General features: G+C 50.7%; 1 long non-coding RNA gene across 2 annotated transcripts in view; it reads right to left on the bottom strand.

The window, feature by feature from the left end:
• The window catches only part of LOC105371750 (uncharacterized), a 115,553-nt gene that overhangs the window by 77,848 nt on the left and 19,088 nt on the right, over positions 1 to 18,617 (bottom strand). For both annotated transcript variants that reach the window (XR_007065730.1, XR_002958156.2), the window contains exon 2: positions 11,940 to 12,114. This is a non-coding gene — a long non-coding RNA (uncharacterized LOC105371750). The remainder of the gene's footprint in view (positions 1 to 11,939; positions 12,115 to 18,617) is intronic.

Here is an 18,617-nt window from a genome sequence, read left to right as displayed (position 1 = left end):
GAAGGGACAGAACAGATCTGGTGGGCACTCAGAAGAATGTTTTGCCAAGTGAATGAATAACTACATGCCCTTCCCCACCCTATCACACAGTGTTGCTCCTGAGTCAGTGGTATGTCTTAGAAGGTGAATTACAACTTGGTCCTCTTCTCTCAGAACTCCAGAGAGCTGCTGCATAGTCAGAGTGGTCTCTGGTCTCTGGCATGAGAGTCTCTCCTAAGGAAGGGGTCTTGCCTGCCACCCCCACACATGCACACATTGCTCAGCCCCTGCCCCCAGTCTGTGACAGCAGCCTCTGTAATGAATGACCCTGCAGTGGGGCCCAGCAAAAGGACAGGAGGGCACGAGACAAATCATAGCTGCCAGGCGCTAATCTTCCCCTGGGAAAGTCACCTCCACCCCCCTCATCCATCACTGGGCACTGGGCTGCCACCGTAACCACCCCCCCAAATACACACCCAAAACAACCACCCAGGCCTCATGGATGCATGTGAAAGTGCTCAGAGAGGCAGGTTTTGGTGTACAAGTGGGAGCATCTGCACACAGCCAGAGGAGCCAATGCAAAAAAGGCCATTATTGCTCCAGACCAGGTTCCTGCCTCATATCTCTCACCCCAGAAAAAGTCTGATGATTCAAAATAAATCCTCTGAGCCATGCATTTGTTTAATTGCCTAAGAAATGTTTGTTAAGAATCTATTTCAAGTAAAGCAATGCAGTGCAAAGGGCACAGAGATGGACAGAACAGGATCTAGTCCTGAAGGAGTCCATGGTTCAGCAGGGGAACAGAAACAGATCAAGGGAATGGGAAGGAAGGGACACAAGCGTAAGAGAGGAGGAAGATGGAGAGTGAAGGGAGGGATTTCTCCCAGTGGAGAGGTTCAGGGACAGCTTCATGAAGGAAGACCTTGAAGGATGGGTAGAGTTTGCAGAGACAGGAAGAAAGCAGTCTGGGAGGAGGGAACAGGGTGAGCAAAAGCAGACTATGGAAGGCAAAGGCATAAGACAGTGCAATAAGTTGTACAAGGAAAGATGAGGTTGACACCTGACCACTGAATGTCAGGTTGAAAAGGCCCAACATTCACCCACACCCACCCATTTCCAAAACACACATGCACGCACACACATGTGCAAAGAATTCCAGCCTCATGAAAGAGTGGAGCAGGTTCAGTCTCACCATAGATCAATTTCATGGAGATGTGTCCAGCCATGTGTACATCTTCTCCCATTGAAGAGGCTATGGAGGTAAGAACCTATATCCATAAGCCATGTCACTGTACAGCCATAGTCACCCTTCTAGCCAGCATTCATAGAGCACAGTTCTGAGAGCTTTACATGCATTATTTCCCACTAGAATGTAAGCCTCAGGCCGGGCACGGTGGCTTATGCCTGTAATCCCAGCACTTTGGGAGGCCAAGACGGGCAGATCACCTGAGGTCGGGAGTTCAAGACCAGCCTGACCAACACGGAGAAACCCTGTCTCTACTAAAAATACAAAATTAGCCAGGCGTGGTGGCGCATGCCTGTAATCCCATCTATTCAGGAGGCTGAGGCAGGAGAATCATTTGTACCCAGGAAGCGGAGGTTGCAGTGAGCCAAGATCATGCCACTGCACTCCAGCCTCAGCAACAAAGAGTGAAACCCCGTCTCAAAAAAAAAAAAAAAAAAGAATGTAAGCTTTATGCAGCATCAAATGTGTTACTGCTGAATTACTAGAGTTCAGAACAGTGCTTGGCACATAGTAGGTGTTCAATAAGCTTTTTTTTGAATGAATGATCTCATGTCCTCATTTAATAGGGTTGTTATGCTATAAGATAGGCACAAATATTATGACTACCACCCCACTGTCCCCCATTCTACAGAAGAAAAAATGCAGCCTTGGAGAGATTCAGTCATGCAACTAGTCATGCCACTGGTCATTGCGACTAGCAAGTGGAGGAGCCTAGCTCCAAACACAGCTATCAGAATGCAAGCTCTTTACCAACAGTGCTAAAGAGCAGCAGCCCTATGTCTGACTTTCATGTTTCTGCAGTCATTGTTATGCTTCAAGGTGGCACAATTTGAACTTACGCTCTCAGAATCTGCATAATCAGTAACTATTGTAGGAAGACACTAATATATACACTTCTATAGTTATATGCACTCAGTCAGTCCACTTTAGGGAAGACCAATATAAACAAAAGCACCCAATTTCCAAAGCAGATAAATCTAGGAGGGCTCATTTGCTTTACAGAAAAAGTCTTGGCCAGGCACCATGGCTCACACCTCTAATCCCAGCACTTTGGGAGGCTGAGGCAGGCGGATCGCTTGAGCCAAGAAGTTCGAGACCAGCCTGGGCAACATAGAGAGACTTCATCTCATTTAAAATTTTTACAATTATATTTTAAAAAAAGAAATAAAGAAATAAAAAGAAAAGCTATTTGCCCTCTAAAAAAGAGGATTCATCCAAGGGCTTTTTTTAAGTAGGAGAGCTTCTCTGGGCATTTCAGTGCTTAATTTAATGGGGTCTGCAGGGGGTGGAGTGAGGATAGCATAATTTATGGGTCACCTGCTGTGTGCCAAGCTCTTTATGACCCTGCAGAGCAGATATTATTATCCCATTTTATAGATAAGGAAACTGAGTATCAGGTTCAACACATTTGCTTATTCAACACTATTTATTGAGTCCTGTTCTGTGCTAGGAACCAATGCAGGCTCCAGGGAATCAGATATATATAAATAAAGTCCTTGCCCTCACAGCGCTTGCATTCTCATGGGGAGAGATAGGTAATAAACAAGTGAATGAATAAGTGAACAAATCTTTGAGAGAATGTCATGTTATAAGTGCTTAGAAGGAAATAAACGGGGTGATAAGAGAGGGCTAGGGTCCCTAATGTAGATCTGGAAGCATCTGGGGATCCCCTGAGCCCTTCAGTTAGAAGCTGATTGACTTCATCTGTGGCTTCTCAGCCCCAGTTCAGAGAGGGAGGGAGTGGGGGGAAGGGTGGGAGGAAGGAGGAAGAGAGGGAGGGGAGCATCCAGCCTGCTCTTCTACCATACTACCTTGTCAGAAATCCAGGTGGGAAGAGTTGCCAGAGAAGCAAAACTTATTAGAAGCCATTGTTCATTACAGACCCATCTGAAGTTAGCGCTGAAGCCCTGGCACAAGGTCTCTGAGAAAACAGGAATTTGATGTGTAAAATGTCAACTCAGCCAGCTTGGTAGGAGCACTGGAGCCAGGAGCACTGGGCTGTGGGTGAGTAGGGCAATGTAGGCTGAGCAAAGTGAGTTTTGCTGAGAGGGTAAGGCCAGACTGACCAGGTTCCATTTCTGGCTCAGCGACTTAAGGACATGTCGCTTCAGAGGGGTGTCTTGACCTCTTTGCACTCCAGTTTCCTCATCTATAAAGTGGGTATCAGGAAAGTACTCACCTCTGACGGTTGTGAGGAGGATTAAATGCTTCAGTATGTGTGCAAGACTTCCTAAGCAATAAAAGAGGATTGCATTTAGCATGGGTGCAGGAGTCAGTAACTCCAGCGATACAGAGTGGGAAAGAGAGCAGGAGGAAGGACTCGAGAGAAGAGAAAAAAGTGGAGAAAGGAGACACTGAGGGGAAAGAGAAAGCAAGTGTGCACATAGTTACAAGGTTTCTATTCAACTTCCCCCAAAGCTTAATAGATTTCTAAATGGGCTTATTATCACCACCTATGAATTCTTTTAAAGGACCTAATTATAAAACACCAAACTAGCTAATTAGGTTTCCTGAGCTCGCCTTGACACAGGTGCAAACAGGCTCTCTGGATGGTAGCCCTGGCAAAGCCCGCAGTGCCAGCTCCAAATCAATGGGGGGCGGGACCTGCCTGTGGTCACACAATTAGGTCTGTAATTGTGGGCCCCCTCCTGCAACTACCAGGCTGCCAGAGATGCTAGCTGTCTGACCTCTCTCACCTGGTGCATAGGAGCAGAGGCCCTGCAGAATAGGGGACCAGCCTCCTGGGACACCTCTGGGTTGGCTTGGTGCTGAGGGTGCACCGGGTGGGTCCCCCAGGATCCAGTTCAGGAGGGACTGCATCTAGACAGAGGGGTCCAGGAATTGGGTCCTTGGCACTTATCCATCTCTCTTTGGAATAGAAATGCCCAGGGGTGGGATCACCATGATGCTCAGAGAATGCACATGTCTTACACACCATTGGAGAGATGAGTGCACTTGTGGGTAGTAAAGTGGCAGAGATGGCTATGCCCGCCCCTATTGGATTAGAGGACCCTTGAGACAGGGGGCAGTGAAGGGCAGAGTTCCCGAGTCCAGAGGGTGGGGAGACTACAGGAAATCCTGTCTCTACTACAGTGATTTCCAAAGTGTGTTCCCGGAACCACTAGCATCAAGATCACCTGGGAACCTGTCAGAAATCCAAATTATCAGACACCACCCAGGGATGGATTCTTGCAATCCGTGTGTAAAGGAATCCTTGAGGCGTTTCTCAGGCGCGCTCCAGTTTCAGAACCACTGCTCCCCTGTATCCAAGAGGAGGCCATTAATCAATGCAGCTGCCAATGGTGGTGCTGCTGACCGAGGGGGGTGTGAGGAGGGATCTGTTTCTTAAATTAAACTAAACGATGGCCATTAAGGGGGCATCCCCTGCACATAATTAATTCTCCTTTTGCTGAAAGGGGCGGGTAGGAACTGGACAGCTAATGATGGTCACTGTGCGCCTCACCTGCATTCCTCCGCCCTCATTGCCTCCAGTGTCCTTGTCTTTGGGCCCACCATGAACACCTGGTTCTCTTTCCATGTAGTGGCCCCACCAGAGTCTAAAATTCGTGAGCTACATAGCACTCACTTCCCCAAACTCCCTCTCACTGCCCCCTCCCCCAAGTCAGTCACCCCTCTTGCCAGCTCTATCCCTATCCTCCTGCTCCTCTGCAGCCTTCATAGACCCCCCGTGTCATGCCTCAAGGTGGGGGCCAAGAAGCCATACTGTAATTCCCTCCAAGGAATTTTCTTCCAGTTGTTAAAGTGAGGCCAGAATGCAAATCCAACCACTCTCCCCAGATACATCCCTAGCAGCCTAATGTGTCCCAGTCATGCCTAGCCCCCAAGGCAGGGGTTCTCATATTCCGTTATCACTGGCCACTCCACTCCATATTCCATGGTTATTGCCTCCTCTCCAGCCGCTGCCTCTGCTGGGCAGATTTTATGGGATTCTCTCAATGCATTTTTACAATGCCATAGAGCCTCCAGAGCTGGCCATGCAGAGATCAAAGTCCCCACTGCTGACCAAGCCACCAGCTACCTCTTGCCTTTGACAATAGGACAGATTTCCCCTCTTAGACACCTACTTCCTAATAACTGGCCATCTCTTAGGGTCATGGTGAAGATTGACAGAGACGATATATGGGGAGCATCCGGACAGCCCCTGTTACACAGTTAGGCTGGGGACGTGATCCCCCTCCTCACCCTCTCTGTCGGTTCCATATGGCTCAAATGGGGTTCACCTCAAGGACCCAGAGATGTCTGTGGGTTGCAGTAGCCCACCCCCTCATTCCATTTATAAATCCTGGAGTCCAGGGGCTGGGTCATGCCCAACTGGGTCAGGTTGACTGCAGTTCAACAAACTTCTCCTGGGCCCCTGTTGGTGCTGGGTACCCTGATAGTGGCTGAAGATGCAGAGACAGAACAAGAAAGGACTCTACTCTAGATATCCGGTGTGGTAGGGAAGCCACATTTGTGATAATGCATCCTTAAGAAGAAGAAATAGAAGATGAGGGAGGAGGCAGAGTGATATAGAAAATAGGGTCGCTTTGGAGACAGACCTGGGTTCCAATTTTGGCTTCACCGCGGTGTGGCCAGAAAACCTTATGCAAATCACTTAACCTCTTTGAGTCCCCTTTTCTTCCCTTATAAGATAGGGGGATAAAAATAAGAAGAACTTCAAAGGCTCAGGCTTAAAGATGTTTGGGGTAAGTACCTGGGACGTTGCGGAGGCTCAAAAAATGGTGTTGTTATTATCATGAAGGCAGTGGGTTTCCTTGCACTCCAGGAGCCCACCCTGCCTCTGTGGGGTCAGAGTCTGAACAGTTCTGGCGGCCCTGGGTTTTGGGGTTAACCAGATGATCCTTTAATATACAAAGAAACCCCAAACAGCTTAACCTCAGCCGAGGCATAGAGGGCCCGGCTGCCCCATGAATACTGGCCTTGAATCCTGTGCTCCATTATTGCATCTGAAAATCCGTTAAAATTTCACACAATTTCCTGCACAGCAGTGTGCTTCATAATGCTGGGAGCCAAGCCGGCCCAGTAATTGGGACCGGAGTGGGGCAGAGTCCAAAGCAATTAATCCAGCCTCCTTCCTTGTTTGCGCCAGGATAAGCCTGATGGGGTGGAGAATAATTGGAAAGGAGCGGCCTCCATCCCCAACTCCAAATTAATATTTTCCTGCCCTGATTTAATTCCGCCCAGGAACAGTGACACAGAGACACGCCGTGTCAAGCGCTAAGTAATCCACCACGAGCCACCTGAGGAGGAGGAAAGGACTTTTCCTTTTCTTTGCGGTTGGCCGGGGGTGGAGGGAGGTGCAGCTAATAAGACAGAACCTCAGAATCAAGAGGGCCTTCCAGGGACATCCGTAGTGCAACCACCGTCCCGATGCAGTGACATGCCACAAGGAGGAGAAAAATCAGGGATCCGGGAAGGCAGACAAACCTGAGTCCCAACCCTGGCTTTGCTGCTTAGGAAGTGTATGACCGGGGGCAAGTCATTCAACCCCACCGAACCTCAGTTTTCTCATCTGTAAAGTGGAGATTATAGTACCTGCCATGAGCAATTGTTGTCAGGATTCTTTACAAAAAATACAGTAGGTGGCTGTCAATGGTGGCTATTTTTCCTGTTATTTTAGGTTTTACAACCAGGAGCCAAGCACAGTGCTAGGCGCTGAGAATCCAAAGGTAAACAGGCCGGGCATGGTGGCTCACGCCTGTAATCCCAGCACTTTGGGAAGCCGAGGCGGACAGATCATTTGAGGTCAGGAGTTCAAGACCAGCCTGGCCAACATGGCAAAATCTCGTTTCTACTAAAAATACAAAAATTAGCAGGGCGTGGTGGTGCGTGCCTGTAATCCCAGCTACTTGGGAGGCTGAGGCAGGAGAATCACTTGAACCTGGAAGGCAGAGGTTGCAGTGAGCCAAGATTGTGCCACTGCACTCCAGCCTGGGTGAGAGAGCGAGACTCCACCTCAAAAAAAAAAAAAAAAAAGTAAATAAAATGTGGGCCCCAGTTCTTAAGGAGCTTGAATTCTAGTTCCAAATATCCAGGACTGCTACACAGAAGGTGTTTAATATTGGCTAGCTCCCTGCCTTCTGCCTACAGCGTCCCTGGACAGGCAATGATTCAACCTCTGCCTGATCACTTTAATCACTGGACCATCTCCTGCCAGTTCTGTTGGTGCATTTGCCTGTGTGCAGGCTTCCTCTCCAGCATCTAGCTGCACCCTGAAACCTCATCCCACCGGTTCTAGCTCCACTCTAGAGCAAGCTGGAGAAAGAGGTCCAGGTGCAGGAGTCAGGACTCAGGAATCTGCAGATTTCTCTCCCTGTCCCCACCGAGCCCTGCCTCTGTTGGCTCAGCAGCCTTATAATAGGAGGAGGGGTCCTAACTTGATCCTCTCTCACCCCGGGGGGTTCAGGCATGTTGAGTAACCTGGAGAACTGGGGCAGGATTGAGCTCAACAACTCACAGTGGTAACCTTCCCGGTCTCACTTCCCATTCCTTCCTGGACTTTCTTTCAACTCCCAAATAAACCACCTCCCTTGAATCCTTATAACAGGTCTGATTCTGGGGGACATCACACTAAGACAACCAGGTGTCCGCAAGCCCTGAGGCCTGGACAGCCTGCCAGGGGTGCCTCTAAGCTTCACGGCTGAGCAGCGCCAGCACCTCAGGATTCCAAACCGTTGGCAGAGGTGCTTGGTGGGCAGGCTGAGGTTACCCACCTGCAGGGGCAGACTTATTCATGGGCACCTGAGGCCCCCACCCACCCGGGACACTTGGGAATAATTGAAGGCCACATGGCAACAGGAATCCCACAGGCTCAGGCAGCGGGTGGCGAGAGCCAGGGAAGTCTCATTATTTATGTAGCCCTCTCCCCAGTAGGAGGAAGAACACAAACTCCAGGGTGAGGGAGGAAGAAGATGCCTCAGTGAGTTCAAAACTCCCCCAAAGAAAACCATTCAAGCCAAAGCAGGGAGTTGCCAGCAAAACCCCCATGGGTGTTCGACAAAACTGCAGGGAAACACTATGCAAATGTCAAACTGATGAGGAGAGCGGGGGAGAAAGGGACAGGAATAAACCAAACATTAAATCAAATCAGTAGGAGAATAAGAGCTAAACTCCTTGCTTGTAGCACTCAATTCTGTAGTCAATACGGTCAGGAATGAATGAACGGCCTGCTCAGAGCCACATCTGAATTCAGTGTGTGTAGCACCCTAAACTACGAGGAGAATCAGCCAGCCAGGTGTCATCCTGCCCCATGCCCAACCACAGGGACAAATGGGCTTGGGGAGGGGACCTAACCTAGGCCCTCTGGGGGCAAGGCAGGGAGGAGCCCTGCCCAGGGGCTGGGTGGCATGGGGCAAGTCCTGTCTCCTCTCGGAGCCTCACAGCACCCACATGGAGGGCAGCTTGAGGAAGCTGTTGTGTGTGCAGGGCACAGAGGCCTGCGTGAGGATAAAATGGTTGGCCATAATAAAAAGATGGGGATAAAGGAGGTTGAATGAGATACCGGTGGAGCAGGAGCCCTGTGGTCTGTGTCCTATCCGGCTTTGTTTTGCTTCATTGGGGATGTAAAATGAGGATTTGGTTTTGTTAAAGAAACTGGGATTGGAGAGGAGGGGAAGAGCACTGCCTGGAAGAGAGATGACGAAGGAGAGAAGGGAGAAACCCAGGGCTGCTGTGATTAGGCTGGAGTGTGCTGTATGATGCCATCTGCTCCCCTGGTTTCCCAGAAAAACTTCAGTGAAACCCGCAATGTTCACCCACACGTTGGGAACTGGCCGTGTGTGTGCTGCATGGCTATAGGGTGGGCGCAGGGGTAGGACAGAGGCTGAAGGGGCCCAGCTATGTTCAGGTCCTACGTGGGCAGACATGCTGTGTGAAGGATCCCATCTGCCGCTCCCTGTAGCTCCATTCCACAGCCATTCGTGGATTATACGGCCACGCAGCAGGCACAGTGCCAAGACTGGGAACAACCGCAAATATGACGTGGCCCTGCCCTTGATCAAAGACTAGAGGGGAAGACACAAGCCAACATGTTGGTTCAGGGGATAAGCTTTGCATGCCAGGGTAGGTTCTAGCCCCAGGGCATGTGAGTCTTGCCTGAGCGCTCTCTGGAAGCCGGGGTGGAGCCAGCACTTACATTTTCACACTCGACCCTCAGAAACTCTGCTCAGAAACAGTGGGGGACTGGCTCATGGTCACACAGCTGCGAAAGGGTGGAACTGGCTGTGAACCCACGTCTGTACCTTCAGAAACCAGTTTTGCTCATGGGTCACCTGGTTGAAACTTCACCAGCCAGGCTTTTGCAGAAATGGGATGCCGACAGTGGAGTGGACACTCTTTCCCTTCGCCTAGGGCAGCCTCGAGGCTACATGGCTGTCTCCAAGCTCCCCTGACATGTGGTCCCTCACCCCCAGCTTTGGGCTTTATCTCAGCTGTCTCCAAAGTTCCAGATGTGACTTAGAGCCCCTTCAATAACTTCTCCTTTTGGCTTAAGCCAGTTTGAGTTTGGGTTTCCATCAGCATCTTTCTCCAAACTGAAAAGAGTTAGGACTGTATAGGCCTCAACATCTGGTGGGAATTGTGCCAGTGTGTTCACCCCTGCCCACTCCAATCCCAGGTAGATTGAGTTTAAATTCATCTTTGACGGTGGAAGAAAATGGAGTCCCAGATAAAAGAAGTAGCTTATGCAAGACCACACAGCCAGTTAGGGGCAGGACTGAAATTTGAACTCAAACCTTAAGACTTGCACTCTGCTTCCCTTCTGGATCATTGTGTTATCCACTTTGTCTGGTTCTGAAAAGATTTGTATGCAGAGTATGTGAGTGTCAGTGTGAGTGTGTTTCTATGTCCTCAGAGAGATACTGAAGTCCCCTTGGGTCAAGCTTGTGCCACTGACGTCCCTGACATCTCCCAGACCCCAGTAAGAGCAAGTGGGTCCCCCACAAGTGGTCCCTGGACTTCAAGCGTAAATGGGCTTCCAGAGGAGGCTGCCCTGGCATGTCCAGATCTGGGCAGCAACATGGCTCTGGGAATGCCATGCTGTGTGTCCAGGGGAAGACATCAACCTTTCTGGGACTCAGGCTGATGTGAAATTGAATCTGATAAAAAAAGAATACCAGCAAAAGACATAACTGGTGTGAACCATCTCTTGTGAAAAAGTAAAACACTTGCTAAAAAGAAAGCTACCGAACGCATTCCACTTTAAGAAAATCCAATACGCAAAATCTAAATTTACTCTCTGAATTTAGATAAAGAACAGTTTGACAAAAGAATTCTAATTGTCACAGCAGTTCTATTGAGGAACCAGGGTGAGTGTTTCCAGGCCTCCCCAGCATGCAGGCAGAAATGCAAGAAACAGAGACGCTTCGAGCCAGAGGGCCGAAGCTTTGCCCACTGAAGACCCCAGGAGGATGGCCAGGGTCTCAGAGGGAGTAGAGGAAGGGGTCAGTAAACAGTTGCTATGGAGACACAGGGATGTGTCGAGTGGAAGTACAAGACCCCGAACTCCAAATTCCAGGGCAGCTTGGACCCAAGACCAAGCCCAGAAGGGTGTGGTATGACGTGTTAAAAAATCCACTCCCTTCTCTCCCAACCCATCCCTACAGGGCCTCTCCCTGGTACCCATCCTTGTGGGAGAATTGTACTTCCCATCCTACTGTTGGACTTGGCGATAAGACTCCTTTCAGCAAATGGAATAGGAACAGGAGGGACATAGACCATGCCCAAGCTAAGGCCTTTGGACCTCACGTTTCCACCATCTTTCTTGCTCTTCCCCTCTGCCACCAGATTGAAGCTGCTTTTTCAGCCCGAGCCCCAGAATGAAGACACATGGAACAGAGTCACAAACAACCTGCAGCAGATATGTATGATGAACAAAAAAAAAAAAACTTATGTTGCTATAAGCCATTGAGATTTTGGGATTGTTCATTACTACACCATAAACTAGCAAAAGCTGACTAATATAGAAGGCAATACTCACAGCTTTAAGGCCACCTCTGACAACCCAATGGGATAAGTGGCTCAGATGTGTCTCTTCAGATCAGCATTTGCAGTGCACGGGAGTCCCGTGGGAACTTATAAAACAGATTCCCCCTTCTTCTTTTTTTTTTTTTCCTTGAAATGGAGTCTCACTCTGTCACCCAGGCTGGAATGCAGTGGCACAATCTCGGCTCACTGCAACTTCTGCCTCCTGGGTTCAAGCGATTCTCCTCTCTCAGCCTCCCCAGTAGCTCAGACTACAGGCGTGAGCCATCATGCCTGGCTAATTTTTGTATTTTTAATAGAGACAGGGATTCACCTGTTGGCCAGGCTGGTCTTGAGCTCCTGACCTCAGGTGACCCACCCACCTCAGCCTCCCAAAGTGCTGGGATTACAGGCGTGAGCCACCGCAACTGGCCCCAGATTCCCCCTTCTGAGAATGAAGTCAGTTCATCTAAGGATGAGGCCCAGGAATTGGTATTTTTGACAAGCTGTGAAGACGACAGTGGCCTGTCCACAGACCATGCTTTAAGAGGCCCTGATCTAATGAGTCCACTGTTTTTGCTATCCACAACAATGTCCAGAGAGGCACAGCAACATGCCAAAGGTCACACAGCAAGGGGCTACACAAGAAATGAATCTCCACCTCATTTCCCTGAAGCACACTGTCCTTCCCCAGAGAAACGGTGGGGAGGTGGAAGGGGAAAGAGAGACTCACAGGTTGAAAAATGCAGCTCCAGAGAGAAACCAGTGGGAGGCCAAGGAATTCAAGTTGAGCCAGGGTCCAGGTTCCAGCTAAGAAGGGAGTGACCTGTGAGTGGATGAAGAGGCGGCTCCCCGGGGCCTTCGCTGGAAGAGGTGGGGAAAAGGATGTCAGATTACAGAGCAGGAGGCTGGAGGAAAGAGAAAGAAAATAAATAAATAAAAATAGAAAAGGGAAAAAAAAAAAGCCCTCCAGCCCTGGTGAGCCCAAATATCCCCAGCCTCGCTGCAGGCACTGCCCCAGCCCTCTTCGATTTTGATGTACAGTTTGAAGCAAATCAATAGCAGTATAATAATACTCAGCACGCTGTGTAATTTTTATATCATTAGTTTTCATTTTCCGCTCCCCATGCATCAAAAAACTTACAACGGGCTCGTAAAGTTTATTTAGTATTCCATGAATTCCTAATCAGTTTCATTTCATAATGATTCAGGAGCCGCCCGCTGCCTAGGCCCCTGTGTCAAAAAATCGATAAAACCAACACAGTTTTCCTGATGGCGGCTGAAAAAGGATCTATTGTAGGGGAATTATGATTTATGCCCTGGCCTGAACCATGAGCAGCAGCCTCCACCCGGCGGCTCAGGGCTGAGGTCTTCGCCAATAATGATTTATGCACCTCTGAGGGCCCCACCCTAGTTCCCTTCCTGCCCTGGCTGGCCCCTGACACTGGGGGCAGCGGGGAGGGCCCAGTTGGGAGGGAAGGAGGAAGGAGAAGGCACAAGGGGAGGGCCTACTAATAGTCTGAGCATCCCTGCGTAGGTCCAGCATCTGCCTCTAAGTCCACCCACCATCCAGGAAGGCCTGATCAGAGTACAGAGGGATTTAGGGAGCCCTACCTGGTCCCAAAGAGCTGCAGAGGGAACATTCTGAACACAGGTGTGTGGGTGGAGCTGGGGTAACTCCAGCTCTCCATCTGTAATCCTCATTCCCACTCAGCCTCCGTTCTGACCCCACGGATGAGTTCTTGGCCCCTACCTTGCACCAATGACAGTCACCTCCACCTCCCCTGTCCCTGCCCCAGTGGCTCTGAGAAAGCTAAATGGGAAAGGGGTCCCAAGGGTCATGGTGGCCAGAGGGCCTCAGTTAGACCCCATGGGATGCAGACACAGCAGGCTTCCAGGAATTCTGAGGCTGTAATGAATGTTTCCAAGACTCCCAGGAGGAAACAAGGAGTGAACCTGAGAGGTTGTTCGGAGGTTCCAGCAGGCGAGTCGAGCTCCTGGTATACCCTTGACCAAAGAACAGTCCTCCTCTATCAGGGAAGGTCATCCTCTCCAAGTGTGCAGCTTCAGCAGGGACACACATGGAGCAGTGAGGGAGGACGGGGACACCCGCCTAGCCAGCCAGATCACCCAAATCAATCCTGGTGATCAACGGGGTGACAAATGTTGCAGCCAGATTGCCCTCATATCCAGGAATGAACTTGCCCCTTCTCTTCTCTGTGAGGCAGATTGGCTTGGTTTTCAAACCCCTGCATCCCCACCCAAAGCTCCTGTGCCCTTCCTCCACTGGTCATAATTAATAGATCTGGGAGACATGTTAATGGGATGGGTATTAAGTCCAACAATTGGTTTAATTAAGAGCAACTAACCTAGCTGGGATAGAGAGATCTCACGGTGACTTCATATGGGAGGGGATGCCCTGGTGTGACAGGAAGCCAACTGGGGCCACCAGTATGTCCACCCCCACCCACCATCTATCAGTGGGTTTCTCGGCCTCCACGTGGTGTCTGGGGAAGACTGGGGCTTCATTTAAGTGGGTTGAGAGAAGCAGAGGTTCAGGGGCTCATCTCCGCAGGACCTGTCCTGAGGCACCGTTGGCACTCCAGCCTTTGACTCTAGTTAGAATAGGTGGGCTTCTGGCCGGGCGCGGTGGCTCACGCCTGTAATCCCAGCACTTTGGGAGGCTGAGGTGGGCGGATCACAAGGTCAGGAGATCGAGACCATCCTGGCTAACATGGTGAAACCCCGTCTCTACTAAAAATACAAAAAATTAGCCAGGCGTGGTGGTGGGCGCCTGTAGTCCCAGCTACTTGGGAGGTTGAGGCAGGAGAATGGCGTGAACCCAGGAGGCGGAGCTTGCAGTGAGCTGAGATCACGCCACTGCACTCCAGCCTGGGTGACAGAGCAAGACTCCGTCTCAAAAAAAAAAAAAAAGAATAGGTGTGCTTCCTCCTGACACCTTCATTTGTTTTTCATTCATTCACTCATGAAACATCAGGGAGACACCTCGAAGCCGCTTGCTTTATTATGCAAAGAGAAGAGAAGGGACTTGCCTGGCGCCACGCAGATGCAGAGTGGCAAAGCCAAGATTCCAGGCAAGATTCGCCAGGTCTGACAACAAGCAGTGTCTGCCCATCCCGTCCCAGTGAGCCCCACAATCTCCTCACCGGCTGCCTGTGCTCCTCTCTCCAGCCTACTTTGAGGGGTTGGGGGAACAGAGCATGACAGCCGCTCTCCTTCCATGTCCATCCATCACCCCATGCACATGGCAGTTTGGAAAGAGCCCAGACTTTGGGGCCAGACCTGGATTCGAATCCTGGTTTCCTCCACTCACCAGCTGAGTGACCCTAGACAATTTAATTAACCTGAGTCTGGCTTTCCTCACGTGTAAAATCAGAGTCATAATTTCTGCCCCACAGATGGTAATGAGTCAAAAGAACAGCAGATATAAAATACCCACCCCCATGAGGCCCCTGATAGATGCTTCCTGCCCTTCCCCCGCTCCCTCGTTGCCTCTAAGCCTCACTTCTCCCCAGAGAATCATCTATCTGGTGCTGGGAGTGAAAAGGGGGCCTGGGTCTGTCTCCCCTCCTCCCAGGATTAATCAGAAAACCAAAAACCGGCCAGGATTTGGCATCAGTGGGCTAGGGCTGTGCCACTGTTCATTGCACTGTGGCAGAAGGAGAGGAGCCCAGCCTCATCTACACAAATCTGAGCCAAAGCCCCTGCCAGCACCTCGGTTTCCCCATCTGTGAGACAGAGGCATGATTCCTTCTAAGGCTGAAGCCTGGCAGTTCACTGACCTGGGAATCGTGTTCCAGGAACCAGCAGCTTCTCCCAGGTCAGGAGTCAGAGAGTAGAGGGGCTGGGGTGAAGCATGAGACTCCCTGGATGTGGGGTGGGAGAAGGGGAGGGCCCCTGGCCTGGGGAAGCTCTAACTGCCCCCTCTCCATCCCCAAAAGAGACAGAGGCCTGCTCCCCATGAAGCAGAGTCCAAATTCTTCCCCCATGGAAATGGAGGCCCTTGAGGCTGGCTGCCACTCCAGAGCAGCCCGGTCAGGATCTGCAACTTCAGACTCAGCCTGTCTCCCTGGGCTCCTTCCTCCACTCCCTGCTCTGTCTCTGTCTTCTCTAGTGAGTTTCCTGTCCTTCTGTCTCTTCCCCTCTATTCCTTCCCCACCACCCGCTTCCCTCTGGGGAAAATAAGCACTTGGTTGTATAAGGCCAGAGGGGTTCTAACACCGCTCCACCAACTGGCAGTGCTGAAAGCCCTGAGATTTACTGCTCCCCTTTCTGCTGCCGGGTCCCCAGTTTGTCCCTCAGCTGTTCCATCACCCCTGGGCCTAGTGACAGTCCTACTGGGAAGGTAGCAAAGTGCGGCAGGAAGCTGATCAGCGGCCAGCTCAGGCCCACAGCGGGACATCCATTAGGATCCAGCACTTCAGGGTGAACCCCAGCCTGTCTCTGGGAGCCGAGGGATGGGGACCAGAAGCACCAATCCATCTCTCTGTTCCCTGCGCCAGACCCTGCAAACACACATAGGCTCTGCAACCCTGAGGCCAGCTCTGCTTTTGAGCTCTGCTTCCTGCTCCCTCTTTCTCTGTCCCTGATCTCACCTCTTATTCTACTAGAGACAGAGCCAGCCAGGCCCAGGGGGCCATGTCAGGGACTTGGTCTCAGCTGCTCCAGCCCCTTGATGAAAGGGAAAGGGCCCAACTCAGGCATCAGCTGTTTCACCTGTGAAATGGGTTCAATGAGAGTTTACGTGTCAGAGGAAAAGGCCACGGTTGGACAATGTGCCGGAGGATTGTGACTCCTTATTGTCACTGCACAGACCTCAGTCCCCAAGACTGTGGGCCCAAGCAAGGACTCTCCCAGGGTGACTACACCTTACAAAGCTCCCCAGCTGGCAGAGTCCCTGATGATCAAGACCTCATTCAAGGGGCACAGAGGGTCTCAAAGGAAACAGGAAAACAGAGAGTAGGACCCAAAGGCATCGTGTCCCATGGTGGGAGGGTGTCACTGAGGCAGGAGGGAGCCGGGGTTCTGGGGTCAGAGGAAACTGAGTTTGGAGGGGATGTGGCCACCTGCCAGTGGAAGGGCATTGGACCAGGAATTTAACCTCTGGGGATCTCGGTTGCTCATTTGCAGATATGACAATACACATGAGATCCCAGGAGCGCCCTGTGGAATCACCAGCAAGTGACAGCATGGAAGGCACAGGAAGGGGTTTGGAGGCAGAAGCAGGTGCGTTTGCACTGCAGCTGGTTGACCGTCTTCCCACGTGACCTTCAGCTAGTTACCTCTGGGCTCAAAGCTGCGTCTTCTTCATCTGTAACATGGGAGTGATTGTCACATCTCTCTCACAGGGTGGTTTGTGCAGGTTACAGATGGTTGTGCATCCTTTAGAACACAGAGGTGGCACCCAACAAGTGTTCCTTGTAACTTCCGTGGCCTGGGCACAGTGCCTTGGCACAAGAGAGGGGTTCAATAAATGTTTTTTCAGGCCAGGTGCGGTGGCTCATGCCCGTAATCCCAGCACTTCGGGAGGCCAAGGCGGGTGCATCTCCTGAGGTCAGGAGTTCGAGACCAGCCTGACCAATATGGTGAAACCCCGTCTCTACTAAAAATACAAAAATTAGCCAGGCATGTTGGTACATGCCTGTAATCCCAGCTACTCTGGAGGCTGAGACAGGAGAATTGCTTGAACCCAGGAGGCAGAGGTTGCAGTGAGCCAAGATAGCACCACTGCACTCCAGCCAGGGCAACAGAGTGAGACTCTGTCTCAAAACCATAAATAAATAAATGTTTTTTCAGTTTATTATGGGTGTGGGTGGGGAACAGGTTTATTATGGGGGACCCATGAGGTAACCCAACTGAATAGTGAAGGGTGGACTCTATCTGCTCAGGCCAAGAACATCTGCAAACACATTTGTAGACACCGATCATTTCTGGGTCCCCAGAGAAGAACAGGGACTTGGGTCTCCATCTGGCAATTAAAGAAACTGACACCTAGAGAGGTTTGGTGAATTTTTTTCAAGGTCTCCCAGAAAGGGTGAGTCAGAAATGTCAGAGGCATGTGAACCAGAGCAATTCCATCTTGAATAGGAGGTGGGTAAAAGGAGGCTGAGACCTACAGGGCTGCATTCCCAGATGGTTAAGGCATTCTAAGTCACAGGATAAGACAAGAGGTTGCTACAAGATACAGGTCATAAAGACCTTGCTGATAAAACAGGTTGCAGTAAAGGAGCTGGCCCAAACCCACCAAAACCAAGATGGCAACAAGAATGATCTCTGGTCGTCCTTACTCCTACACTCCTAGCAGCGCCACGACAGTTTACAAATGCCATGGCAACATCAGGAAGTTACCCTATATGGTCTAAAAGGGGGAGGCATGAATAATCCACCCCTCGTTTAGCATATCATCAAGAAATAACCATAAAAATGGGCAACCAGCAGCCCTTGGGGCTGCCCTGTCTATGGAGTAGCCATTTTTTTTTTTTTTTTTTGAGATGGAGTTTTGCTCTGCTGCCCAGGCTGGAATGCAATGGCATGATCTTGGCTCACCGCAACCTCTGCCTCCTGGGTTCAAGCTATTCTCCTGCCTCAGCCTCCCAAGTAGATGGGATTACAGGCATGCGCCACCATGCCCGGCTAATTTTGCATTTTTAGTAGAGACGGGGTTTCTCCACATTGGTCAGGCTGGTCTTGAACTCCCAACCTCAGGTGATCCGCCCGCCCTGGCCTCCCAAAGTGCTGGGATTACAGGCGTGAGCCACTGCGCCCGGCCTGGAGTAGCCATTCTTTTATTCCTTTACTTCCTTAATAAACTTGCTTTCACTTTATGGACTCCCCCTAAATTCTTTCTTGTGTGAGATCCAAGAACCCTCTCGGGGTCTGGATTGAGACCACTTTCTGGTAACAAAACTAATGCCAGACCACCCAGTGCCACCCGGTTGGGACTCCAGGCTCTGGAGCAAGCTGCCCCCTCCTGCCTTCCCAGACAGTTCATGATAGCAGTCACCACTTACTGTGTGAGTCCCTATGCCCGGGGCTTGGCTAAATACTATAAAGCGCTTATCTCATTTAGCATGCTCACTGGCTATGAAACAGCTTTTTCCTCACCCTCATTTTACAGATAAGGAAACTGAGGCACAGGGCGTTAAGGGGCTTGTCCAAAGTCACTCTGTTCACAAGTGACGGGGCCTGAACTATAAGCTCTGATATCTGAAGCCTGTGAACTTGATCTCTAACTGCACCAGCAGAATCAGAGGTAGTCTGTCCATCCAAACACAGGCTGGTGGTTCCCTGCATTGGTCAACCTGCCAATCCCCCTGCCTCGCTGAAGGGCCAACCCTCAACTCTTCTCAGGCTCAGGCCTACCAGGTGTGAAGGGAGCCTCAGCTCCTGA

The sequence above is a fragment of the Homo sapiens genome, chromosome 17 (genome assembly GCF_000001405.40).
Source record: "Homo sapiens chromosome 17, GRCh38.p14 Primary Assembly".
NCBI lineage: Eukaryota > Metazoa > Chordata > Mammalia > Primates > Hominidae > Homo > Homo sapiens.
The sequence above is the reverse complement of the archived record's forward strand: the minus strand, read 5'-3'. Positions and strand labels throughout refer to the sequence as shown.